Source organism: Homo sapiens, chromosome 4 (genome assembly GCF_000001405.40).
Source record: "Homo sapiens chromosome 4, GRCh38.p14 Primary Assembly".
In the NCBI taxonomy this organism is placed as follows: Eukaryota; Metazoa; Chordata; class Mammalia; order Primates; family Hominidae; genus Homo; species Homo sapiens.
Genome location: NC_000004.12, coordinates 183,485,414 through 183,512,870, shown reverse-complemented (window position 1 = coordinate 183,512,870; position 27,457 = coordinate 183,485,414). Strand labels below are relative to the sequence as shown.

The 27,457-nt window shown below is 42.7% G+C and overlaps 1 protein-coding gene and 1 long non-coding RNA gene across 4 annotated transcripts, besides 5 other annotated features; one reads left to right on the top strand and one right to left on the bottom strand.

Annotated features, from left to right (window-relative positions):
* Positions 1–441: 441 nt before the first annotated feature.
* ING2 (inhibitor of growth family member 2) lies at positions 442–7,813 on the bottom strand. Of its 3 annotated transcripts, none has more exons than NM_001564.4 (2): positions 7,504–7,813; positions 442–2,589 (listed from the first exon to the last, which is right to left on the bottom strand). In NM_001564.4, exons 1-2 carry the CDS (start codon positions 7,673–7,675, stop codon positions 1,919–1,921), a joined length of 843 nt encoding a protein of 280 aa, NP_001555.1. In that variant the 5' UTR covers positions 7,676–7,813; the 3' UTR covers positions 442–1,918. The 3 variants fall into 3 exon arrangements, with proteins under 3 accessions (NP_001555.1, NP_001278888.1, XP_011530229.1); NM_001291959.2 differs by lacking the exon at positions 7,504–7,813 and adding an exon at positions 6,553–6,773; XM_011531927.3 differs by lacking the exon at positions 7,504–7,813 and adding an exon at positions 5,854–6,020.
* Positions 2,725–3,225: an enhancer, noted in NCBI's record as "H3K4me1 hESC enhancer chr4:184430799-184431299 (GRCh37/hg19 assembly coordinates)". NCBI's record gives its function as "activates a minimal SCP1, AML or CMV promoter by ChIP-STARR-seq in naive H9 embryonic stem cells {active_cell/tissue: H9 hESC(naive)}" and the evidence as "EXISTENCE:reporter gene assay evidence [ECO:0000049][PMID:30033119]".
* Positions 3,226–3,726: an enhancer, noted in NCBI's record as "H3K4me1 hESC enhancer chr4:184430298-184430798 (GRCh37/hg19 assembly coordinates)". NCBI's record gives its function as "activates a minimal SCP1, AML or CMV promoter by ChIP-STARR-seq in naive H9 embryonic stem cells {active_cell/tissue: H9 hESC(naive)}" and the evidence as "EXISTENCE:reporter gene assay evidence [ECO:0000049][PMID:30033119]".
* Positions 6,462–6,511: a silencer, noted in NCBI's record as "silent region_15830". NCBI's record gives its function as "represses an Ori minimal core promoter by ATAC-STARR-seq in GM12878 lymphoblastoid cells {active_cell/tissue: GM12878}" and the evidence as "EXISTENCE:reporter gene assay evidence [ECO:0000049][PMID:35858748]".
* Positions 6,752–7,471: a silencer, noted in NCBI's record as "silent region_15829". NCBI's record gives its function as "represses an Ori minimal core promoter by ATAC-STARR-seq in GM12878 lymphoblastoid cells {active_cell/tissue: GM12878}" and the evidence as "EXISTENCE:reporter gene assay evidence [ECO:0000049][PMID:35858748]".
* Positions 7,692–8,731: a silencer, noted in NCBI's record as "silent region_15828". NCBI's record gives its function as "represses an Ori minimal core promoter by ATAC-STARR-seq in GM12878 lymphoblastoid cells {active_cell/tissue: GM12878}" and the evidence as "EXISTENCE:reporter gene assay evidence [ECO:0000049][PMID:35858748]".
* Positions 8,356–18,134, top strand: ING2-DT (ING2 divergent transcript). The gene is made up of 3 exons (NR_033995.2): positions 8,356–8,695; positions 15,202–15,311; positions 17,804–18,134. It is a non-coding gene; the product is annotated as an ING2 divergent transcript (long non-coding RNA).
* The last annotated feature ends 9,323 nt before the right edge of the window (positions 18,135–27,457 follow it).

Genomic DNA, 27,457 nt, shown 5'->3' with positions numbered 1-27,457 from the left:
AAGTCTAATCCAAACTTTGGCATTTCTATTAGGAAGTCGTTTCTTTTCTCCCATCTGCCAAGGCAGATTTACGTATGAAAAAGTGGTGACTTCTATGTAAGTCGCATCTGAAGGCTTTGGGGGTTTTGTCCATACTGATATTTTTAATGGTGTCAAGTAAAAAGCTCCATTCTGGTAACAAGGTTGTAATCACTAAAACAAAATGCCATATTCTCAAAAGGATTTCCTTACAACTCAGCTAAGTTATGGTGATGAGAAAGGATTTGCTAAATTCTTAATCATGCTGTCTAACATTTCTCACTCAAAAGGTAATAGAATCAACTAGCTCTAGTCATGAATCCAAATATTCTTAGGACAGAAGCTAACAAATATTGCACATTTACCCATCTCCAAACTCACCTTTAAACTATCTTTATACCTCAGAATGAAGGACAAAATTAATGAAAAGAGAAGTCATGTCATTATTAAAATCCTCACTATAGTGCAAATAGTAGAAATTTCCAAGGAATCTCGGAGATATTTAAGCCAACTCATTTTACAGGTGAATGACCTGACACCCAGACAAGGTGAAATGACATGCCTAAAAGTCACACAGGAGAGCTAGAAGAGAAAAAAAGCATTTTTTTTTCCCAAAACAAGCAGACAGGATTTTTCATGTTAATCAAAAAGAATCAAGATCATCAGATTAGGAAGAAATGAGGAATAAAACATACGTTACACACAGATTTAAAGAACTAGTCAATCTGCTGCCCCCAAAACCAAAACCTTCTCTAAACATATGGACATATATCCATCAAGATGCTTACCCTTCAAATATCAGAATCTTGGAAAATTCAATTTACAAATACATTAATTGCATTATGATGATGAAATAAGTTAATTAAATGTGAAAACATCAAACAGCACCAATACTAGAAGTTAAGACAGTAAATACACTATTATTTAAAATAGTCACTGATTGGGACAGAAATGAACAATAACCACTAGCAAAACCATTTAAAACAACTCTCTGACATAAAGGCAATATTTAAAGACTACTATATGCCCCTTTCCACTGATAGGCCTGTGGCTACGCATCCTGGCAGCAGGTCACATGGAAAATACTATTAATTAAGATGTATTTTTAAATTGTTCAACCTTGAGCCGTGATACTATATAACCCAAAGTTTGCCAATGTAAGCCAATGTATATTTTTGGTATGCTAACTACTCTTACCTGTCCCAATTAAAAGAAAACACAAAACAACTCCCTTATTAAGCACTAGACTAAGTATATCTACAAAGCAGCAGCAAGGCATTGACAAATGGGCTACTGACAGTGGATCAAAATGCTACTAAGCAAAAGACAGCAGCACGTACTCTCATAAGAGCACATTATTCCACATGGAATCCCAAATTACTCTTATCTCCAGTTCCTTAAACTCCTAGAAGACTAGAGATGAACAAGCCAACGTATAAATAGGACTAGGGAAAAAGCAGCTCAAATGGCATAGTGTCTGTATTTTAAAGTACCCAAGATCATTTGATGCTTAAGAGAAATCCCACTACATCTAACATTTTTTTAAGCATGTATAACTAAAATGCTAGTGAAACTTTTGTGTTTACCCAAAAAATAACATTGCAGTTTTAAGTGAAAATGAAATAGGCATGGTTTGTGAAATTTTTATAATGTTTACACCACCCTCTTCCTGTTCCCTGCTCCTTTCATCAGGTGATCTGAAGACTACCTGGTTGGAAATATTTGGTAACTCAGTGCAGAAAATTAAGGTCACAGACAAAGTACAACAACTTTTAATACACCATTAATACTAATGATTAAAAATTATTGCATAGTCTTATGCATTTACCCTAAAACATTTTCTGAAAGCAAACGAATTATATAAAAGACAAATAACCCTTTAAAATGTGGATGGCCTTTACTACCTCGATCTTCTATCCTTTTTTGTCTTTTCAGTACTTTTGTCCATTGTTTTCTCATTATCTCCCCTGCACTTTGGGCAATACCATTTCCCCTTTGGTTTATAGGTAAGTGAAACACATGAAAAGTGAAACCATTCAATTGGACACTGTTCATTGTCACATCCTATCATCTCCCCATAAGACACTTGGTTGCATAAGCAGTATGTAGGTTCATTAGGATCTATTGCAAACTCAACAGGTGAAGCTTCCCTTTCCTGCTTGGCCTTGGAGCGTTTCTTTTTCTTTGCTGACTTGGATTTCTTTTCTTTAGGTGGCTGATCATCACAGTCTTCAATCCCATTTGCCATGTGACATAAATCACGGCTTTCACTGGTCCGCTGCCTGCGGGGTCTTCTTGAAGATCTTTCTGGTTGGCTGGAATCCATCTTTGCTTTATCTGAGGCTCGTTCACTTTCAGCAGGATCTTGGAAACACTGTGAGTGTAACTCCATTTGTCTTGCCCGATTTTCCACCAATTCGAGCATTTGTGTAACAATCTGTATTTTTTCATCTCCCAATTCTTGACTATTAATTAGTGCTCTCTGGAGAAGCTGCTGTAGACGTTTCTTCTGGTTTAAATCATCTTCTTTCTTATATTTTTCGTAGACATCATCAATTTCCTTTAACGTTTCTAAAAAAAGGAAAAGAAAAATGAGAACGTTATCATGTGTTAGCAGACACAACATTTCCAAGGTAGTTATTTTTTACAGAATTGAAATTAGAACTCAAACCATGAAACCATACTCCTCTTTGGTACATATACATTAAAAACTATTTCATACAAAGACCACATTATCTAATATGAAAGTATAGTTAGAAATAAAGTAATGAAAAGAAAGAACACAAAACTAATACTCATTAATCTATATTAAAAAGAGGCTGGGCGCGGTGGCTCACGCCTGTAATCCCAGCACTTTGGGAAGCCGAGGCAGGTGGATCACCTGAGGTCAGGAGTTCAAGACCAACCTGGCCAAGATAGTGAAACCCTGTCTCTACTAAAAATGCAAAAATTAGCCGGGCATGGTGGCAGGCGCCCCTCATCATTTCAGCTACTTGGGAGGCTGAGGCAGAGAACTGCTTGAACCCGGAAGGCGGAGGTTGCCGTGAGCCGAGATCGCACCGCTGCACTCCGGTCTGGGCGACAGAGCAAAACTCCATCTCAAAAAAAAAAAAAAAAAGGCCAGGCGCGGTGGCTCACGCTTGTAATCCCAGCACTTTGGGAGGCCGAGGCGGGTGGATCACGAGGTCAGGAGATCGAGACCACGGTGAAACCCCGTCTCTACTAAAAATACAAAAAAAATTAGCCGGGCGCAGTGGCGGGCGCCTGTAGTCCCAGCTACTCAGGAGGCTGAGGCAGGAGAATGGCGAGAACCCTGGAGGCGGAGCTTGCAGTGAGCCGAGATCGCGCCACTGCACTCCAGCCTGGGAGACAGAGCAAGACTCCGTCTCAAAAAAAAAAAAAAAGGATAAGAGATGTTTGGCTAATTAATGATCAAAAGTATTTCTCATGGGCAGGAACACTGAATGCCACTTTAGTCTACTAAGTACTGTAACACCTTCAAAACAACCCTATATATAAAATGTGCAGGCTGGGGTCCAGCTCTAAAACTTGAAAAGGTTACAGGACTAGGCTACAGATTACTGCCCAACTGTGTTTACAGGATTTACAGTCCAATCAATGACTTGTGACAATGACTTGTGACATGACTCCGGAGATATAGCTTCACTTTCACATCATACATTCTTAACAAAGAAGGCATAAGCAACTCTTAGCTTCCCATCATCTTACTTTTAATGGCTCTACTTTAGCCTCACATGGGAAATTCTGAAAATGAAACTATTTCCAGAGTAGGTTCTGGTTCTGGCATCAACTGACCAAACCACTAACAAAATTACAATAAAGTCAGCACTCGATCATTCTGCCTTTGTAGATAAATCAGTAGTTGGTTCTGAGCTTTCTGAACTGCTGATTTAGTTGTATGGCACGTGGAATACACTTACTTAAATCAAGTAAAAATAGCTGAGTCACTAGAAGGTATCCAAAAATCTGAAAATATAATTTCAGATGTCACCAAAAATTTACTTAAGATTAGTTTTGCTCGAATCCGTTTTATTTCTTATTCTTACAAGATGTAATGCTATCTCAAAGAGTTCTGTCCGCATGGTATTTTTCATACCACATGGCATACTAGTTTTATATTCCAATATTATAATTATTAAAAACAGAAATGTTAGGCAAGTAGATATATACATTGGGGCTGTCTGCAAGTAAGGCACACAAAAGCAAATATTCAACAGAACTCATTAATCAGCTTCTCCCTGGAAATCGCAGGTACTCGTACTTGATGTACAACTGTCTAACTTGGAATATATAACAAAGTGCCACCACACAGTTCAGAGTACTTACACCTGCATAGCATATTTTCGAACAAAGTTCATGTCTATTCCATTTGCTTAGCTCGGCATCTAAGCAGATTTCTTAAGAACCTCATTTCCCTACAGGAAAAATAAGGAAACTGGTTCCCTCAGACACATAAAAAATTGAGGATTAAAAAAAAAAGAGGCAAACCTCTTTTCAAATATTTTGTACCTAATAATCAGGTGTTAGAGGCTAAGTACAGTATATATCATACCAGCACATTGATAGATGAGATAAAAAATTTGTAAGATACCGTATTATATAGTGAAAGAAGACAAGAAATTAACATTTACTCAGCCCCTTCTATGTGGTAAAGATTTTCTCAGTTAATCTCCACAGCAACCCCATGAGGAAGCCATCACTTCTGCTTGTGAAAAAAACTGCAACTCAAGAGATAAGAACCCCAGACTTTGAACTGTGCCAGATCTGTATGTCTGACCTCGCAGTGTAAGCACTTTCTATAAACTATATGAAAGGCACTTGAAATTAAGTATCAAAGTTTAGTTTGAAGGTTGTTATTTATCTAAGAAATTATGAGTGGGAACACTAGAATAAAAATAAAGGTTCTCTAATAACCCTATCCCATAATAAGTACTTCAATTGTGAAATTGTTTTCTTCTTTATTTCTCATTTTATAAGTTTTTCAGCAGTTCTGAAAGTGTCTCAAGTAGGTTAGAAAGAAATTTGACTGCCTATATAATTTATATCACTAAATATTGCTAGAAATATTAGATCCAAAACCAGAAAATACTTAAGCACTAGTGAAGATATAAAAAACATGAAATCTGAACCCAAAATATACATAAACATAAAACTGTGAAAGTTGAGCTCAGTAACCACGTGCAGAGTGAAAACTAGATGAGTTTTTAATCACTAATCACAAACTTCATAGAGCTAAGAATTTGTATAATCTCTCAATCTTGTAAGGCCTACTATATTACTAATGTTACCAGAGCTATTAATACCTGACAATTATAGATGATCCGAAAGATTTCCCTGTCAACAAATTATAGTATCCCTCACCAACTTCAAATAGCTTAACTCTTGTGAAAGGAAACATGTGCCTTCAAAGAAATGTAAAAACCTGCAAGCTTGCTGGGCGCGGTGGCTCACGCCTGTAATCCCAGCACTTTCGGAGGCCGAGGCGGGCGGGTCCCCTGAGGTCAGGAGTTCAAGACCATCCTGGCCAACATGGTGAAACTCCGTCTCTACTAAAAATACAAAACTTAGCCCGGCGTGATGGCAGTTGCCTGTAATCCCAGCTACTCGGGAGGCTGAGGCAGGAGAATCGCTTGAACCCGGGAGGCAGAGGTTGCAGGGAGCTAAGATCGAGCCACTGCACTCCAGCCTAGGGGACAGAGCAAGGCTCTGTCTAAAACAACAACACAAACTACAAGCTTTACAAACTTTGGTGTTATCTGAAAAACTAGAAAGGTTCCATATACAATTATTAAGCACGTATCATTTTTAGGTTACCATTCATGTTTGTGCTCCATATCTGTAGAAATCCCCTTGGACAGTTTTTATTAAAACTTAAATTGTTTGAAAACAAAGATATGCATCTACAGTAGCAGGCTCTGGAGCCAAATATTCTACATCGAATTAACTGGACGAGTTACTTGAACTCTTTGTAATCTGTAAAAGAAATATTTATATAATGGTCTGGACCCAGCGCATCAGTTTTAATTCCCTCCCCACCCCCTCCCCAAACACGGATCAGTCCTATGAATCCTATGGATTCAGAAAACAGAAACAAATTTATAAACTAAAAAACATCAGACACTTATGTCACCCAAGAAGTGGATTCCTTAGAGACTTTTAAAGTATAGGATTACTGGCGTGTCTACAAAAACAGAGAATGGGTCCAGGAAATTATCTTTAAAGTTCGTATGGCTGTTTCCATACTATGTTCAAGGTCTGTTCCTCGATTCAAGGTTATTAAGCGCAACACATTTCCCCTTTTAAACTGCCCTCCTAGTAGCACCACCGATAGTAGGTGGTAACACTGTAAGGAAGGTCGATTCTGTCCCGGGTTCCCGGGTCGGCCGGCAAAGGGTGGTTTCGCCTCCACACTTAAAGTCGGAGAAGGAGGGGCTCGGGGACGCCAGGCGGTTGCCCAGTCAACCAACCCACTTCCTCCTGAAGCCCGGAAGTGACACATGTCCCGGAACCTACGCGGAGCCAGGATCCGCGACGGTCCGAGCTGCTGATCGCCGTCCTGATCCATTGACTGGGAAAGAGGTTGGAAACATCACCGCAAAACATGCTGCAAACCCCGATTCGGACTCCGCTGGGGCCGAACCAACGCCCCCGCACAGCCCCGACTCCCTCCCCAGCAGCCAGCTCGCCACCGCCCCTCTCGCGACCAGCCATTTTCCAGGCCCGCGGGAACGCGCGCCGCGCCCCTCCCACGCCCCTCGTCAAGCCCGCAGGCCCCGCCCCCGGCGCGGGGGCCCTCCCCGCCACACACGCCCCTCTCTTCCTCTCCCGCGGGGGACCCCTCCCCTCTTAACCATTTTGCCGAAAGAACTGGGCTAGGGCTACAACGCGGGGCGCCCGCGAACTTTCCCGGGGCGAGAGAGCGGAACGGACTGCTCTCCTCCGGGCCGGGGCAGGAGCGCGGAGGAAGGCCCCCTCAGTCCGCCTCCGCGGCCTCTCGCCCCCTCCCCCCGCACGTTCCAAAGCACCCGCACTCCGGGGTGGGGGCGAGTGAGGTGGGGAAGCGCGCCCCGCAGACCAGCGGGAGCCCGGCCGCTCACTCCCTCCGACCCTTGCCCGGCTGCAGTCCCGGGCCGGGGCCGCAGGGTCTGCGGCACGGGGCGGGCCAGCGCCTGAACAAATGCTTGCTGCTTAAAATGGCTGATTCCCCTCAGCGGCAGCTGCAGCCGCTGGGTCTGCAGCGGGGGCTGACAAGCGGCCCCCACCCCCACTCTGGGGACCCCAGAGAAGTACTCGCCCACCGCGGGGCCACGGAGGGCCGCCAACCCGGTCTCCAGTCCTCCCAGTCCCGCTCGGCAGACCCTCGGTGCGCTCGGGGAGACTGTCACGGGAGAAAGGGAAGGTGGCACTCCCCCGGACAGGCTCCCCGCCACCGGCTCCCGAGGCCGGCAGCCCCGCGGCTCCTACCTTGATATTTGTTGTCCAGCTCTCGCAGCACAGACACGTTCCTCTGCATGTCGTGGGGCAGCGACTCCACGCACTCAAGGTAGTCCTGCACGTAGCAGGTGAGCAGCCGGCTCCGCTCCCCGGTCAGGAGCGCGGCCGACGAGTACAGTTGCTGCTGCTGCTGCCCTAACATCCTGCCGATCCGCGCCGTCGCCGCCGCCTCCGCATCCAGCAGCCGCACATGCACCGGCCGCGGCCGCCGCGGGCCCTCAGCTCAGCAGCCCGGCGCCGCGGGGACCCCGCAGCCGCTCGAGAGGGCACGGCCGCGCTCCCCGATCTCCACTCCCCCCAGAGCAGCCCTCACTCCCCGCCCCCGCAGCACCAGCCCAGGGGCGGGGCGAAACCGGGGCTCCCTCCTTTCTCCCCTCCCGCTCCAGGACCGGAGCAGTGGGGATCCCCTCGGCGGGGCCGGCGCCGGGGTCCCGGGCGCTGACACTTCCTGTCCCCCTCGGAGTCCCCAGATGCTACGAGTGCCGTCTCGCAGCCCGGATCCCCATGACAAGCCCGTCGCCGCCCGCCTGTCCCCAGTCACCCTCCGTGCCTCACGGAGAGCCTCCCGCTAGCCTGCCCCCGCCCCTCCGCCCGCGGCCGCCTCTGCGCCTGCGCAGCGCTCCCTGCGAATAAGGCCGGGGCCCGCCCCTACCGCCTACCGGAGGGTTCGCATTCTCCCGCCTTCGCTCCGCCGCCCGGGCGATTGGTCTGCCGGCTCTGGGCTAGCGGGGGAGGGTGTGGGGGGCGGCCAAACGGCAGGCCGCGCCCCGCCCCCCTTAAAGGGGAAGCCCGGGGAGCCAGTCTCTGCGCCTCGCGTCTGAATGGGACCCGGGAGGGGAGGCGGCTCGGTCCTTCGTGCCGTCCTCCCCGCTGGGAGGGGCAGCTCCAGCTCCGCTCGGCTCGCTCCGCCCGGCCACACCGGCTTTTTCCCCATCAGGCGGTCCGAGTGCGGCTCCTCGCGAGCCTGCAAAGGAGCAGCAGGCGGTTCCTTTTCGGACGACCTGGAGCGAGGCCTGCGGGACTGCGCGCCCCGGCGGGCGGCGTGCGGCTCCCGGCATGCGCGGCGGCTGCGTTCCCGCCGCCTCCGAGCTCGCCTGGGGCTGCCGCCCGCCTCCTGCCGGGCCCTCGGGCTCGCCCGGCACCGCGGGGCTTGATCAGGGAGGTAGGCGGTGCTCCCTCCGGCCCCCGGCGTCGTGTGCCCTGCGGGTTTCGTGGCCCTTCCCCTACGCTGGAATCTTCTGTGTCATTTAGGGGGAGGGGATGCGGGACGGCATCTGTTTGACAACGCATTGGTCCCACAGACAGCCTTTAAAAACAACTGCTTTTGGGGGGTGTCAGAACATTTAAGCACAGGACGTCGGTGAGGCTTCCTGGCGGAGTGGGGCACACGCCAGCTTTACGGGACTTTTTGCTCAGTCCTGCCCCAGGACTGCAATCGGAGGGGACCTGGGGCATGGAGGAGACGCGAGTGAAAACCTAGTCAGCGGGCGGGCCCTCGGCCCCATAATCTACGTGATCTCCTAGTGGGGTTTAATTTCGGTGTAGTGTAAATGAGATGTCAGGCAGAGGAGCTGATTTTAATTACAGATGGACATTTTTGAAAGAAATGGGTGCAAATAGAATGAATGCATGGATAATTTTAATGGAATGCCTATGTAAACAAGGCCAATTGTGAGTACTACCTTTGAGTTAAAATGTGAGTGAGTGGTGACAAATTTGGATCTTCTTAGATCCAGTTTGCAGCGTTGGTACACCTGAATGGTGACCTATTTAGAGCACTTTTGAAACAGCTGTTAATAGTAACTAGCCTTTGACTTGCAAAGAGAAATCTAGATCTTTATCTAGAGGAAATTTTAAATTTCAAACCAAAATAAAGCACTCCAGGCAATTTGACATCTTGGGACGTCAACTATTTCAAAGGACTGGGAAATTGTCTTGGGTTATTATCCTAGGACACTGAGGTTTGGGCCAGTATTAAGCAACCCAGACAGTACAGTGGATAGTATTTCTGAGAACATTCTGGGATTTTACTGTTCGTGAAATCTTTCGGCCGGGTCTTGTCAAAAAACCGCCACTGTGAAGAACTGAATTTTACTGGTTTTTACTTGAACCCTGCTATTTTTGTTTTCTCACAAGTTTGAATAAGCTGGTCTTTATCAAAGGCGCAAAATAATGTGGGGTGCCTTGTTACAGGTCAGACACCGAATGTACCTATGGATTTTATTCAGTCTGATAAGTGATCTGCAAGTAGATAAGAAATGTGTTTAGAAACTAGAAGGGGAAAAAGGCAAAGATGCAGAATACCTAGAGTACTCCAGAAACAGAGCAAGATGAGAGGAGGGATGAGCATGGGATAGGAGACATTTATAGCATTATTGTCACCTTTTATAATTCTGTTGAACAGGCTGGTAAAAAAGCAAAAACAATCCAAAGAATATTTTAGCTGGTACTGATCTAAAACTGTAAAACACTGTAATATGATAATATATGTATATGTATGAATTATTTTAGGCATGCTTTTCTTGCTATATTTATTTTAAGAGATTAATCTACGGCTTATTCTTGCCACCCCCAAAAAAAATCGCCACAAACCCTAAACCCAACTCTTGACCTTGGTTATTGAGCGCTGTCCTTCCCTTCTGAGTGGTCACTTAACTGGAAATATGGGGCCTCTTCAGATTGAATTTCTTGTCTTCTAAATGCAAAATTTAAAATCTCCCGTTCTCAGCAACTAGAAATTAATTTATGGTATTTAATCCTGTGAATAAAGCAAAAAGGCATTTTATTTGCTCTACAGTGTATTATCTACCATAAAGCAACCCTAAAAAAAAGATAAGTAACTGATCTCCCCAAATTAGTCTGGGATTACCTTGAATTTCTAAGTCTGACTTTAAGAGGTCCCTGGCAGGAAATGTGTACGCCTCCGTACCTGTCTCTTGGGGAGAGCAACAACTTCAAACTGGTTGAAAACAAACTGGCAAGTAATGGTGAAAGATTCCTAAAGATGCCTGCTGAGAAAATTCAGCTTCTGTTTGAGTCAGATCAAATAAATGAAATCCTTTTCTTTTTTCTACTTTTTAATATTTTTAAACTTTTATGGAAATTTTCAAAGGCAAAAGTAATACTACAATAAATCCTTATATACCGTCTACCCAGCTTCAACATTTAGCAACATATGGCTAAGATTATTTAATCTATAGCCCTTCACATTCCCTCACTCTTGCTGGATTTTTATCATTTTATCTGTAAATACTTTAAATATGAATAATATGAATAGGTAAAATATAATAGTTGTTTTTTGTTTGTTTGTTTTTGAGACTGAGACTTGCTTTTGTCGCCCAGGCTGGAGTGCAATGGGGCGATCTTGGCTCTTTGCAACCTCCGCCTCCCAGGTTCAAGCGATTCTCCTGCTTCAGCCTCCCAAGTAGCTGAGATTACAGGTATGTGTCACCATGCCCAGCTAATTTTTGTATTTTTAGTAGAGAGGGGGTTTCACCATGTTGGTTAAAGCTGGTGTGGAACTCCTGACCTCCAGAGATCCGCCCGCCTTGGCCTGCCAAAGTGCTGGGATTACAGACGTGAGCCACCATGCCTGGCCAAGATAACAGTTTTTTAAGCATATCCGTAATACCATGTATTCTGCCTCCCCAAATTTTCTTACTATCATTTAATAACTACACAATTCAAATTTTCCTATTGTCTCAGTAAATCTTTCACATTTGGTTTAACAGGATCCAGCAAATCCCATGCATTTTATTTGGTTACTGAGGTCTTTTCCAAACCAGTAAGAGGCAGTTAATTCCCTGTTTAATTCAGTGAAGCAGAGAGCAATGTTTTTCTGAGGAAGATATTTAAGTAGTTTAAAATCACTGCTTTAAATATGGAGAAATTCAAGAAGAAATCCTCATATGAAAAGTCACCAATTGATAGCGTGTTGTAAGAAATGTAATTGTACCTGATGCAAATAAATAAATCCTTAGTAATCTAGGAGGCTGTGTTAGAGTGTAATTTGTTCTAGAAGGTCCAGTGAAGCATCTTAAATTATAGTGAAAAACCCTAAAACTTTAAATCAATTCATTAGTACAAAAAGCAACTAAAGAAAAACCTAATAGTCCTGTAATCCCAGCACTTTGGGAGGCCGAGGCGGGCGGATCACGAGGTCAGGAGATCAAGACCATCCTGGCTAACACGGTGAAACCCCGTCTCTACTAAAAATGCAAAAAATCAGCTGGGCGTAGTGGCGGGCACCTGTAGTCCCAGCTACTGGGGAGGCTGAGGCAGGAGAATGGCATGAACCCGGGAGGCGGAGGTTGCAGTGAGCGGAGATCATGCCACTGCACTCCAGCCTGGGCGACAAAGCGAGACTCCGTCTCAAAGAAAAAAAAAAAACAAAACCTAATGGTGTGCGTCTCCACTGAACTCAGTTTTAAAGCATTAAAGCATTTTTTATTACTTTATTACATAAGTAATACACATTATTGTAGAAAAAATTTAAATAGAAATAAAAAGATATATAAAAGTCACTACAAACTGGAGATAACTCTTCTCAATATCTAAATATACTCCAAGATGTAATTCCATTTTAGCAGTTCTTTTGCTTTAAGAAAACACTTTGGCTAGGATTGAAGTACAAAGTTAGGCCAGGTGTGGTGGCTCATGCCTGTAATCCCAGCACTTTGCCACGAGGTGGGCAGATCACCTGAGGCCAGGAGTTCGAGACCAGCCTGACCAATATGATGAAACCCCATCTCTACTAAAAATACAAAAATTAGCCGGGCGTGGTGGCATGTGCCTGTAATCCCAGATACTCAGAGGCTGAGACAGGAGAATCGCTTGAACCCGGAAGGCAGAGATTGCAGTGAGCCAAGATGGTGCCATTGCACTCTCCAGCCTGGGCAGCAAGAGCAAAACTCTGTCTCATTTAAAAAAAAAAAAAAAAAAAAAAAAGGACAAAGTTAAGAAAATATCAGATTCTGTAGAAGGAATATTAGAAATCTGAGCAATATCACCCTGTACTTGGAGTTTATGTGTTAGACTGCACAGATTTAACTGGTGTATACAGTCAATCCTACTGCTTTAGATTATAGTACTATTCAGCATTTAGGATGACTACTAAAAGCAAAATATGATCCTAAAACGTTTTAACGAAGGGACCGTGTGAATGACTGGGATTGTAGTGAAGAGGAAATTCGGTATAATAAGATCTCATATTTTCATAAACAAGAAAAAAGGCAAACGTAATATCCCCTTAGCTATCCCAAAGAGAAAAAATAGCACATATGGTATACTTTGCATATTGCTGACCAGAAAAACATTCAATTTTCCCTGGTTAGTTACCATAGTTACATGAGCCCTTTATAACATCAAGAGGGGGAACTAGGTCACAGTTTTGAAGGAGTTTGAATTATGCAATTATGTTTTCTAAAAGCAGGGGAAAGGGTTTTTAATTTAGAGAAGAGAGATTTATACTCTGTTCAAAATTGAAATTTTGGTCTAATTTTGCTGGCAAAGCCTAAAAATTTGTCCAAAATTTAATAGTTGATATAGTACATATAAATTATTCAACCTATACAAATAACATAATAGCTAGATCCATAAAAATGACATATTCTGTCTTTGTAGATATCCCTTTTTCTCAATGAGCTGTTATCCAAAAATGTTTTTGCAGGTAATCAGGAAACCCAACAATTGCCTAGCGTCTGAGAGTAGCCAAACCATGTGTAAACTAAAGCCTTGAACTCTTCCGGTCTTTGAAAGTGTGAGGTAAAGGTTGGCACAGTGCCTGTCAGATGCTACTCTTTGTTGTACAGCAATTTTCCTATTGATTTCATCAAATGGAAGTGAGTGGCAGGAAGGGAATGTATTGAAAGTTGTGGTGGCACAGCCTTCACCCTTTATATATATTATTATTATAATTATTTTTACTAAGAACCTTACAAAAAAGATGTTTTTATTTAAAAAAAAAAAAAAAGGCCGGCCTTGTGGCTCACCTGTAACCCCAGACTCTGGGTGGCCAAGGTAGGAGGATCACTTGAGAACAGGAACGTGAGAACAGCTTAAGTAGCAGAGAGATCCTGTCTCTGCAAAAAATTAAAAAATTAGCCGGGTGCAGTGGTGTGTACCTATAGTATCAGCTACTTGGGAGGCTGAGGCAGGAGGATCCCTTGTGCCCATGAGTTTGAGGCTGCAGTGAGCTAGGATCGTACCACTGCACTCCAGCCTGGGCAACAGAGTGAGACCCTGTCTCAAAAAGAAAATGCATCTCAAGGTTGCATGATTTCAGATAGTTGTTTTCAATCTCATGATCACTCTAGACTCGTAATTTTTTAATGCTGAAGTTATCTTAGATCAACGATTTCTCCAAAGGAAGGAAGAGCAGGCAACAGGCAGCTCAACTGGGTAGCTGGAGGAGCCAGTGTTGCTGATGGTAGTTTATCCTAACCATCATCTATGTAAGGATGGGGAAGAGGATGGAGATCACTATTACAGATCACCTACAGACCAGCTTTTTTACAGGTGATAGTATTGGGACGCAGAGAAGTTAGCTTGCCCAGTGTCATATAACAATCCATAAAATAAGTATATACCTAAAAGTTTAAGAGTTAAACAAATAATTATCTTTTTTCTGGCTGACAATTATTGAGGGGAGAAGCAGGCCCATGGGAAAAAATTAAGAACTCGGATATCATAAAATATTTTTCTGTGAAGTCTCGCAGCAAATTTAACATCTCTGAAGGAAAATTAGAATTTCCTGGAGAATAATGTTTCAAGTAACCACCCAGTCAAAAGTACTAGAAACTGTGTATCCTTTATTCTTATTTTAAAGGATCAATGCCTTATGCTTTCAGCACTAGCTAAAGAATAGTCTTTTAAAAATGAAACTAATGCTGTCGGCTAGGTGCTTTTTGCTAAATCTATTGTTTATTTGAAGTACTTGATTATTTAATGAGGTCTTATTGGAGCTATTGTTACATTAATTGCTCTTAGCATGGTTAATCCAATATTTGATAGGTATTGATTATCTTTCATGGGTAACAGATTTTTTTTTTTTTTTTGAGACGAGTCTCGCTCTGTCACCAGGGTGGAGTGCAGTAGTGTGATCTCAGCTCACTGCAACCTCTGCCTCCTGGGTTGAAGCAATACTCCTGCCTCAGCCTCCCAAGTAGCTGGGACTACAGGCGCACGCCACCACACCCAGCTAATTTTTGCATTTTTTAGTAGAGATGGGTTTTCACCATGTTGGGCAGGTTGGTCTCGATCTCTTGACCTCATGATCTGCCCGCCTCAGCCTCCCAAAGTGCTGGGATTATAGGCATGAGCCACCATGCCCAGTAAGGGTAACAGATATTTAAAAATTATTTATTTCCATAAATTGACATTCTCTGACTGTTTTATACATGAAACCAGTATATCTCACTTTACACAATACATACATTTCTGGAAAATTGTATTTAGATCTTATTTTGCTAAATCAGGTAATTTTAAATGTGCCAGTTCTATAAAATGAGACCGAAATTTTGAAAATGAAAATATTCATTTAATACAAATAATTTATCTTATTTTATTTATTTTTCTCTGTTGTTACCTTGAGAAAACATAGGTAGTGTTCATTAACTGCAGTCTAGATGTACTTTCATTTTCTTGTTCTAACTATACTGTATATTGCAGATATTTTAGTACAACATCTTTTCATCACAGAAATGATATCTTCAGGGAAAAGACTTCGAAAAAGTGCCTGAAGTGACACAACACATGTTTTCTTCTGGTATCTGGCTAAAGTAAGTACGAAAATTAGATTAAAAACAAAGATATAAAATATATGGGGGAAAATTATATGGGAAGTATTAGAAGCTAAAAAGCTATATATTAAGGGGAAATAGAAGAATCAGAGAAAGAAATGACTATTTGAGCCATTACTGATGATGGTAGAACATTAAAATTAAAATTTAGGGACTGAGATATACAAATTTTATTTATGGAGACTATTTGTGATACTTTTTTTAAATAACAAAAAATATAGTTGCTGGCCAGGTGCAGTGGCTCACACCTGTAATCCCAGCACTTTGGGAGGCCAAGGCAGGCGGATCACTTGAGGTCAGGAGTTTGAGACCAGCCTGGCCAACATGATGAAACCTCACCTCTACTAAAATACAAAAATTGGCTGGGTGCAGTGGCAGGCACCTATAATCCCAGCTACTCAGGAGGCTAAGGCAGGAGAATTGCTTGAGCCCACAAGGCAGAGCTTGCAGTGAGCTGAGATCGCGCCACTGCATTCCAGCCTGGGTGACAGAGTGAGAGACTGTCTCAAAAAAAAAAAAAAAAAAGTGTGTGTGTGTGTGTATGTGTGTGCATATATATATGTGTGTATGTGTGTGTGTGTGTATATATAGTTGTAATACAGGGTTAGAGCAATAGCATATCTAACCTAGTCTTTGACTTGATAATTGGTATGTTGATTAAAAAATAACTTCAAAAAGCCAAGTGACTTCCTTATATGATATTACATTTAGGATATCCTAAACAATGTTAACTTTGTATTCAGATTAAATATCTCTGGAAAAATAGTCCGGCAATATCTAGAGGCTTCATTTATCCTTTTGCACATTTGTTTTTCTTTTTTTGGTATATGTATTATTTTAACAAAAATCTATGCTTCATCTAAAATATAAAAGAAACAAAGAACTGGGTGGGTGCGGTGGCTCATGCCTGTAATCCCAGCACTTTGGGAGGCCAAGGCAGGTGGATCACGAGGTCAGGAGATCGAGACCATCCTGGCCAACATGGTGAAACCCCATCTCTACTAAAAAAAATACAAAAAATTGCGTGATGTGCGCGTGCCTGTAGTCCCAGCTATTTGGAAGGCTGAGGCAGGGGAATCGCTTGAACCCGGGAGGCAGAGGTTGCAGTGAGCCGAGATCGTGCCATTGCACTCCAGCCTGGTGACAGAGCGAGACTCCGTCTCAAAAAAAAAGGAAAAGAAACAAAGAACGTTATGCACTTTCTAGAATAACAAAATGCAAATGTAATATTATCTACCAGGAAAAGAGTAGATAAGTAGATACACCAAATATTTGGATTTAGTTCACTTTTATGATAATTTTTTTTACTTATTAGTCATGTCTGATCTTTGTATACCAGCATTCTAATAACACATAAATTATTACACAAATTAAAGCAAAGAAGTACCACAGTTGGTAAATTTGAAGCTTCTGAAGACTTCTCACTTTAGGAATTAATCTAGGCAGTTTTGGCTTAGAAACACATTTTTTGTGAAAAATTTTTAGCAGTTTAAGAGAAGTTGTAGGTAGCCCTCTTCTCATTCAGTATAGCCCTCAACTTGCTGCTAAGAGCTTTAACAATTTTTGCAGGATCTCACTTGAGTATTTTAGGTTCAGATGGAACAATTCTTATCACTTTTATGAATCAGATGTTTTAAAATTCAAATTTAGATTGATGTTATATGTTAACACCGTCTATAACATCTGCCTACACCCTCGGAAGGGACCTATGAAATATTAACTAGCCAAGGAATCCTTTTCTGACTGTGGGCTTTTCTGTAGGAATGAAATCTGGCAGAAATATTTAATGAAGAGGAATCTGAACATAGCAGTTGAGAAAGAAAGATTGGGAGAAGACTCCAGATGTCGTAAAGCAAAGAGAGGATGAGGCACAGGAAGCAGCTCTTATTATTTCTGTTGCACTTTGGCTCAGAGAACTCCAAGCAATTGATTCTATCCTGAGGACATATTTTTTCAATTTGAGATATAATTAATTTGTTTTCCAGTAAAATAGATATTAGTAGATCTATGACATACAGGAAACAATCGAAAATAGAGATAAGTGGTAATAATACCTCATTACTTAAGACATCTTTTTCAGAAAATTATTCTTCAGTGTGTGGTGCATTGGCTTTCTAGGAAAGAACGGGAGGGAGAACCCTGCTGACATGAATAATGGCCTGGGGGAGAGGGGGAGAGAAGCAAGAGAAAGGAGCAGTTAAGAGGAAAATGATGTCATATGGAAAGAAGGAAATAGATCAGGGCGTCTTTAAGAGCTAATATCAATTGGGTTTAGTGTCTGTATTTAGAGGATGGGAGAGAAGAGGTATCATCTAGGGTTTTGGCTTGGGCCACAGGTAGATCTTGTTAAGGCTGTACGAAATAGAAAATCCAGGAGGTAACGCAGGTGTGTGGGGGAAATGATACAAATGTAAATCATACAAGGATATGAACCCTGTAGATTTTACAACTTTGAGCTCTATCCTTCTTAGGCCTTCTCTTCTAAGCAGCATAAACTACTGCTGCCTACATGTTGCCTGTTCATAAAGGCTGAGGCAGGGGAGTCGCTTGAACTCGGGAGGCGGAGGTTGCAGTGAGCCGAGATCATGCCATTTCCCTCCAGCCTGGCGACAGAGCAAGACTCCATCTCAAAAAAAAGAAAAGAGAAGAAAAAAACAAAGAACTTTATGCACCTTCTGGAATAACAAAATGCAAATGTAATGTTATCTACCAGGATAGAAATTGGAGGCTAGAATATGTTGGGTAGGGTAGAGAGACTAGAGGGAATGATTTAGCAATAAAATAGGTTTAAATATCTTCTCACGTGCCCAGACTTAATTAGCTTTGTATTATTCCTATTAGTAAGCCAGGAATTAGTACTAGGTGATAAGCAAGGATGTGCAGGGCCTTGTGAGGAAAAGAGTTACTGTAGCAGTTCTGGATGCTTACCCCTTGCATGTCTCCAGGGGAACCATCTTTGACCTTGGCCAACCCCTGGATTGCAATCCTTGGAGTGTTCTTTATGTTAGTGATGATGATTTTGTTGTATACACCTGGAGCATTGGACCATTCCATACTGGCTCGCCAGGTTGCGTTGCACAAACACCAAGACTGATAAATAGGCACCTGGTTTTATTATTGGGCCCCTGAGTTTTGGTTGCCGTAGCCAATTCCATAGCAGAGTATGAGTACATGAACAGCCTCCCACAAAAGCCTTAAACCCTGAGACTCAAGTGGGATTCTGTGGGCAGAGACATTCCACACGTGTCTATAGTTTGCTGAGAGAGAGACAGAATTCCTGTGTAGCTGCAGACAAAGGACAACAGAATCCTATGTTGGACCTCTCTGGACTCCACTGATACATCTTTTCCTGTTGCTTTTGCCCTGTATCCTTTGCTGTCATTAATCTGAGCCACGTATTAATATATAACCTGCTATTGAGTCTTGTGAGGCCTTCTGGGATCACCAAAGGAAACAACCATATACCTAGTACTGAAGAGATTTTTTTAAAAGCCCAATTTGTCCATCTGAGTCTTGATAGGATTCACTGAAAAAGAATAATCAACATATGTGAGTATCTGCAGTGTCGAGGTTTAAATGAAATCAAGGCTTTGGTCTTTGTCCATGAGACATTTATAGTCTTTATAGGGACATGACACATGTTAGGGAAATGCTTATAAGCATAAGTATAAATAAAAGCAAATTGGCAATGATGGCAGAATTAAAGAGAGATTAAAATTGGTAAAAATCAAGCAAGGCTAATGAAAGATGGTAGGTATTTAAGAAGAGATATAGGACTGCATTATCAAATGATAGCCATAATTTTCCCCCATATGTACTTTAGCAGTATGTAAAAACTGTAAAACAAAAAACTTTTTTCTTGGATTTTATCTGATATATTCCAGGCTCAACTCAAGTTTGATGAATTATTTGTACGGAATCTAAATTTGTACTAAATCAAAATTTAAGTGTTTTATGCAACAATTTTTTATGAGCCCTCCAGTTACGGATTTCAGCTGTGGGATAATGTTCTCATGTGTTATTATCCCAGAGACTCCATGCCAAGTCCTGTTATAATTAGTCACACCTGATAATTCCTTCAGTTGTGTGGTTAAGCTGCTCGTGTCCAAAGCAGTTTACCTGAACTACACATGTGCAGGGCAGACTCTAAGCAGCCAAGATTAAGAAGGAACTTTGAAGGTTCTGCTTCCTGTAATGGCCAGATAGCTCCTGTCAGATCAGTGTTCCTGCAAATAACAGCTATACATTCTGAACAGAATTTAAAAATCTACCAAAAGGCACTGGAGAGCAAGAAAAAGAAGGCAAATTCTGGATGGGAGTCCACACTTGGAAGAAGGAAATAGCAGTTCATGAGTTTCATCATATAAGAATGTCATTTAGCCTGGGGGCAGGCCCTCATCAGTACCATGTGGAATGACTATAACTTTCAAACTTGCAGACTTACTGGCTTGAAGAGCCAGAGGTTGGAGTCCAGGACAACCACAGGTGGTGTATGGTCTAAAGTTAATACCATGTATTGCCTTGATATCTGGTAAAATCAGGAGGCCCTTGAATGGCCTAACTACAAGTTCCTGTCCACACTCCACTCCTTAGCTCAAGGATCAGGCACATTTCCTGCTTATTCCTGAGTCACAGGTTTTAGTTCCCTGACAGCTTATGGAATTATTCATCCACACCAGTCACGTCCTCCCTCAGGAACCAGGAGCGACCTCATCCTCTTGATACTACAAAGCCTGCACCCGTGGTTGTTCTCTATTTCCAAGTGCAGGCCCCACCTGGCCCCGTGTGGAGTGGGTGTTCTCTGCTAGGCTGTGAGTATATGTGACTAGTACACTGCTGTCAGTCTCATCTGTGTAGTGTCTTGTGTTGTGTTTAGCTTATTCCCATAGCCTTACAGTAGAAATCCCTCCCTCACCAAAGAGGCGAGGAGGAGGGATGCAAACGCACAGCAATGGGAAGTAGAGGAGAAATCACAGAAAAGAGAGATTCACAAAGGAGGAGCCTTAAAGACTATATAGAAAATGCCCAAATTTCTTGCCGAACCTAAACTACACATGTGCACAGCAGACTCCAAGCAGCCCATATAAGCCTTAAATAACTGAACTGAGAAGTTTGAGTTCATCCAAGTGTCCAGGTTAGAATCTAAAATTACTAGGCATACGAAAAAATAAGAAAATGTGACTCAAAGTCGATCAGTTATCCCAGGATGAACCAGATGTTGGAATTAGAGACAAAAATTTTAGAGCAGCTGTCAAAACTATGCCCAAGGATTTAGAGGAAAATATACTCATAATGAATGAAAAGATAGGAAATCACAGAAGAGAAAAACCATAAAAAAGAACCAAAGGTTAATGCTAACATTGAAAATATAATATTTAAAATGAAATTTTTGCTGGATAGCCTTAAGATCAGAATAGAGGCCAGGTGTGGTGGCTCACATCTGTAATCCCAGCACTTTGGGAGGTGGAGGCAGGTCGATCACCTGAGGTTGGGAGTTTGAGACAAGCCTTACCAACATGGAGAAACCCGGTCTCTACTAAAAATACAAAATTAGCTGGATGTGGTGGCGCATACCTATAATCCCAGCCACTCAGGAGGCTGAGGCAGGAGAATCGCTTGAGCCCAGGAGGTGGAGGTTGCAGTGAGCAGAGATCACTCCATTGCACTCAAGCCTGGGCAACAAGAGGAAACTCTGTCTCAAAAGAAAAAAAAGATCAGAATAGAAATAACGTAAGAAAGTATCTGTGAATTTGAAGGTAAAGCAATAGAAATTAATTCAATCTGAAGATCAGAGAGAAAAATAAAATAAGGAATGGTGCCTAAGAGACAGGACAATACAAAAAGATCTAACGTGTATAGGGTTCCAGAAAGGAAAGAGAAAATGGATGCCCATTATTTGCTGCTGCCATGGCACGGGGGTACCCCTGTCCCCAAATTGCGCCCAAAAGGCAACATAGAGGAGACTGAGGAGGGGGTGGAATAGGAGCCACAAGGAGCTAAATGAGACCCATCATGACAATGGCGCCAAATGGAGATGCTCCCAAAGAACTCTGGTCTGTAGCTGGATCCATTTCTGATCTCTCCCTCTTCATGGCTCAAAAGATATACGGGTTTTCCAGAACAGCCTTGTGGATTGCAACCACTTTCTTTATACTCCTGGCTGTTCTGTTGTCTTGGAGACTAAGTCACAAGTGGAACAACAGCAGCAACTAGAAGCAGCAGTGGATACTTTCTAGGGCCTACCACGGGGCCTACCACAGGCTCTCCCTTCACTCCTGGAGAGATCTAGATTGTTACTGCCATATATGAGCCATCCTGGTGGGAGAAGTTTGAAATTCAAGTCTCTAGACTGCTGATTATTTGGACTTTTTTTCTTTTTTTGAGACGGAGTCTCGCTCTGTCGCCCAGGCTGGAGTGCAGTGGCGCAATCTCGGCTCACTGCAAGCTCCGCCTCCCAGGTTCACGCCATTCTCCTGCCTCAGCCTCCCGAGTAGCTGAAACTACAGGCGCCCGCCACCACGCCCGGCTAATTTTTTTGTATTTTTAGTAGAGATGGGGTTTCACCGTGTTAGCCAGGATGGTCTCGATCTCCTGACCTCGTGATCCGCCCGCCTCGGCCTCCCAAAGTGCTGGGATTACAAGCATGAGCCACCATGCCCGGCCGGATTTTTTTTCTTTACTTTGGCACATTGATCTATCTAAAGCAGGTCAGAAGAATCCTCCTCACAGCGTTTCACAGAGAGACTCCCAACTTTCAACTGTGCCCTCCATGCTTTTCTGCCCCATTTTTTCTCTCCTCACTCAGATACCACAGTACATCAGTGCAGAGGGCTACTCCATCTCTAGCCACCCTACCCCTTTGACTAGATTTTTCCTAACTGGTTGATCTCCTCGCTATCCCATCGTAGGGCAGGAACTGATGCTAGTGGAGGGATGTATCCTTGACCATCAATCAGAATGAGGAAGGATGTGCACATGGCATGAAGCAGACAAAATGCATTACAGCTGTAGTGTAAAGTGGATGCTGTGGATTTCTATGCATGTTGTAAAGGAGGAAGGCCAGCAGCAAATTCAGCCACAGAATGGGAACCTTGGAGGACAGAGTAGGAGATCATTTCCTCTGTGCATTTTGGCTGTTAGACTTGTACGTATGTTTTATTTGTTTTTTGAGACAGAGTCTCGCTCCCTCGCCCAGGCTGGAGTACAGTGGCGCAATCTCGGCTCACTGCAACCTCCACCTCCCAGGTTCAAGCAGTTCTCCTGCCTCAGACTCCCAAGTAACTGGGATTACAGGCACCCACCACCATGCTCAGCTAATTTTTTGTATTTTTAGTAGAGATGGGGTTTTGCCATGTTGGCCAGGCTGGCCTCAAACTCCTGGCCTCAGGTGATTCACCCACCTCTGCCTCCCAAAGTGCTCGGATTACAGGTGTGAGCCACCATGCCCGGCCTGTGTGTATGTTTTTAAAAAGCCAGTGCTCACTTTTTGTATTTAAATTTCAAAAATGAGGCTGGGTACAGTGGCGTGCACCTGTAGTCCCAGCTACTCAGGAGGCTGAGGTGGGAGGATCACTTGAGCCCAGGAGTTTGAGACCAGCCTGGACAACATAGCAAGACTTCCATCTCAGAAACAAAAACAAAAAACAAACAAAAACAAAACAGAGCCAAACCATTGAAAAGGAAAAAATAAAAAGAATATCTTTAGAGTAACCAAAGGAAAATGACATTTTATGAGGGGAACAAAGATTTGAAATGCCATTGACTACTCATCAGAATCAAGTGAAATGACATATTTAAAGTTCTGAAAAAAAAAATCAACCCTTTATCTGGAAATAATCATACAGATGAAATGAAAATATCATGCAATAATGAGGGCAAATTAAATACATTTTTACTTAAAACGTAGAATCTGTCACTAGCAGACCTGTGCTACAAGAAATGCTAAATGAAGTTCTTTAGACAGAAGGGAAATAATACCAGATGGAAACCTGAATGTTCAGGAAGGAAGGAAGAGGCTCAGAAAGGTAAATATGTGGGTAAGTATAAAAGACTCCTTTTCCTCATAATTTCTTTAAAATACGGGACTGTTCAAAGCAAAAATTATAACAAACCCTGTAATGAAATTTATAACATGGAAATGTGATGCATTTGACAGCTATAGCTTAAAGTACAGGTAGAGTGCAAGGGGCTTGTATTTTTATGTCATGTGGCACAATATTAACTTTAAAAACACTATGAAAAGTTAAGGTTGGTTATTGTCATCCCTTGGGCAACCACAAAAAAGCAACTCAAAGAGGTTTTCCTAAATTCGTCCATAGCAATAATTACATTACATTTGAATAAACTAAAAACTCCAATTAAAATGCAAGGATTGTCAGAATGCATTAAAAAGTAAGGCAATTATATGCTGTCTATCGATGATATTTAAATATAAAAACAGATAGGTTGAGAGTAAATGGATGGAAAACGATAGGCACAAAATATAAGCATAAGAAGGTTGGAGTGGCTATTTATCACATAATGTAGATTTCCAGACAAAGAGAATTATCAGGGAAAAAAGGGACTTATTTTTTTTGAGATAGAGTCTCGCTCTGTCGCCAAGGCTGGAGTGCAGTGGTGTGATCTCAGCTCGCTGCAGCCTCTGCCTCCCGGGTTCTAGCAATTCTCCTGCCTCAGCCACCTGAGTAGCTGGGATTACAGGCATCTGCCACCATATCCGGCTGATTTTTGTGTTTTTAGTAGAGACAGGGTTTCGCCATGATGGCCAGGCTGGTTGTGAATTCCTGACCTCAGGTGATCTGCCCACCTCCGTCTCCCAAAGTGCTGGGATTACAGGCATGAGCCACCGTGCCCAGTCTGGACATTTCATAATAAAACAGTCACTACATTAGAAAGATAATTGTAAGTGGGTATGTACTTAACAGCACTTCAAAATACTTGAAGCAAAATTTGACAGAATTAAACATCTCTTCTTCAGGAAGTGATAGAACATGTTTAAAAAATCAGTAAGGACATAAGAGCTGAACAAAACCATCAGTCACCTTGACCTAACTCACCTAACTGCACTCAACACCTGCAGAAGAATGAACTATAATTTTTTTTTTTTGAGATGAGTCTTGCTCTGTTGTCCAGGCTGGAGTGCAGTGGCATGATCTCAGCTCACTGCAAGCTTCGCCTCCTGGATTCATGCATTCTCCTGCCTCAGCCTCCCAAGTAGCTGGTACTGCAGGTGCCTGCCACCACACCTGGCTAATTTTGTTTATTTATTTATTTATTTATTTATTTTGTATTTTTAGTAGAGACGGGGTTTCACCGTGTTAGCCAGGATGGTCTCGATCTCCTGACCTCGTGATCCGCCTGCCTCAGCCTCTCAAAGTGCTGGGATTACAGGCGTGAGCCACCGCGCCCAGCCAAAAATGTTTATGGTGAATTTGAAATAGGATGTCCTTTTTTGATAATTGAATCATTTTTATGTGCAAAGTTAGATTTCCATTTTTTTTTTTTTTGCTGGTTAAAATAATGTAACATACATTAAAAATTTTACATATTCGAGTTTCTTTGTAATGTGATAAATAACACTTGTCCTGAAACGATGAACATTTCTCTCTGAGGGAAGTACTGAGTTTATTCTAAAGAGCAAATAAAGGCTGGCTTATAGCCAACTGTCATTCCTTAGTATCTTTAAATTCCCCAGAATCTTCTAATATACACATTCCACCTCCTACGTTGTTTGAAAGTAACTGACCAAGACACATTTTTTTCTTAAATAGCACGTTTCCCTTTAAAGTTTTGTGTGAATTGAGTTTTATAAATCCATTTAAGAAAATGATTAGGAGAGCTAAAGAAGAGTTTTAATAAATCTTTAGGTTTTTGTTTATAACACTACATTTCACTGAGTATTTTTGATTTGTTCTTTACACTGACACTGAGGTAGGCGGCTTTTCACAGATGAAGAAATAGGCTTACAGAGGCCAGATTCTAACATGGAGGTCAGATAGCTACTGAATAGTGGAGCCAGGTCTTCTGGTTTCCAATAAAAGTCCTTCCATTATCCTGTACAAATTAAAAAAATCTTTTTTTTTTTTTTTTTTTTCTTTTTTTTTTTTTTTTTTTTTGAGGCAGGTTCTCACTCTGTCGCCCAGGCTGGAGTGCAGTGGTCTGATCACAGCTCACTGCAGCCTCGACCTCCCAGGCTCAAACCATCTTCCTGCCTCAGCCTCCTGGGTAGCTGGGACCACAGATGTGTGCCACCACACTAGATTAACCTCTATTTTTGATACAGATGATGTCCCCCTATGTTGCCCAGGCTGGTCTCAAACTCCTGGGTTCAAGTGATCTTCCTGCCTCGGCCTCCCAGATTGCTGGGATTACAGGCATGAACCACTGTCCGTGGCCTAAAAGGATCTTTTATTTTTATATTTTTATTTTTAATTTTTTTGAGATGGAGTTTCACTCTTGTCATCCAGGCTGGAGTGCAATGGCATGATCACGGCTCACTGCAACCTCTGCCTCCCAGGTTCAAGTGATTCTCCTGCCTCATCCTTCCAAGTAGCTGGAATTACAGGCACCCATCACCAAGCCCAGCTAACTTTTGTATTTTTAGTAGGGATGGGGTTTCACCACATTGGCCAGGCTGGTTTTGAACTCCTGACCTCAGGTGATCCACCCGTCTCGACTTCCCAAAATGCTAGAATTACAGACATGAGCCACCCCGCCCGGCCAATTTTTTTTTTTTTTTTTTAAATAAAGATGAAGTCTCACTGTGTTGCCCAAGCTGGTCTCAAACTCCTGGGCTCAAGCGATGCTTCTGCTCTGGCCTCCCACAGTGCTGGGATTACAGGTGTGAGCCACCATGCCCAGCCAAAACCAATTGTTAAACAAGAAAAATATTTTTAAAACATCAGAGTGGAAAAGATTCTTAAACAAGATCCTCAATTCATAAATGAATAAGAGTACACCAAAATTAAATAGTTTTGTTCAAAGAAAGATAGAATAGACCATGTTAACACATGGGTAACAGACTGGAAAGAAATACAACATATAAAAGCAATAAAGGGATAAATAGCTACAAAGAACTTCTGCAGGCCGAGCACAGTGGCTCACGCCTGTAATCCCAACACTTTGAGAGGCCGAGGCAGGTGGATCACCTGAGGTCAGGAGTTTGAGAGCAGCCTGGCCAACATGGTGAAACCCCATTCTACTAAAAATACAAAAATTAGCCCTGCATGGTGGCGGGCACCTGTAATCCCAGCTACTCAGGAGGCTGATGCATGAGAATCGCTTGAACCAGGGAGGCGGAGGTTGCAGTGAACCGAGATCGCGCCGCTGCACTCCAGCCTGGGCAACAGAGTGAGACTGTCTCAAAAAAAAAACTTCTGATAATCAGCAAGATAAAACAGGAAACCCTAAAGGAAAATAGTCAAAGGCTATGAGTAGGAATTTTCTTAAAGAGATTCTCAATCTCACCAGAAGATCACTTGAGGTCAGGAGTTTGAGACCAGCCTGGAACATGGTGAAACGCTGTCTACTAAAAATACAAAAATTAGCTGGGTGGGGTGGTGGGTGTCTGTAATCCTAGCTACTCCCGACGCTGATTCATGAGAATGCTTGAGCCTGGGAGGCAGAGGTTGCAGTGAGTCAAGATGGCACCATCACACTCCAGCCTGGGTGACAGAGCAAGACTCCCTCTCAAAACAAATGTAAATAAATACATATATATACTGTTTTTATCTTTCACACTTCTAACCTAATTAAGGTTTATTTTTTATAAGTTGTATATAGTAGAGACATAATTTATTTTCTCTTCCATGAAGCAAGCCATTTTTCCATTTTCACTAAATGACCATTTCCCCTAGGATTTGTCATGCCACCCCCAGGTGATTCAGCTATCGTGCATACTCCATTCTTTTTTTTTTTTTTTTCCAAACAGAGTCTTGCTCTGTCACCCAAGCTGGAGTGCAGTGGCATGATCTCGGCTCACTGCAATCTCCGCCTCCCAGGTTTAAGCAATTTTCATGCCTCAGCTTCCCAAGCAGCTGGGACTACGGGCACGTGCCACCACGCCCGGCTAATTTTTGTATTTTTAGGAGAGACAGGGTTTCACCATGTTGGCAAGGCTGGTCTCG

Bases quoted from the DNA above. Each gene is read 5' to 3' on its own strand.
- ING2 (NM_001564.4), bottom strand. From the start codon at position 7,675: ATGTTAGGGCAGCAGCAGCAGCAACTGTACTCGTCGGCCGCGCTCCTG. The intron at 2,590-7,503 runs GTAGGAGCCGCG...TCCTTTTTTTAG, and splicing joins GCTGGACAACAAATATCAAG to AAACGTTAAAGGAAATTGAT.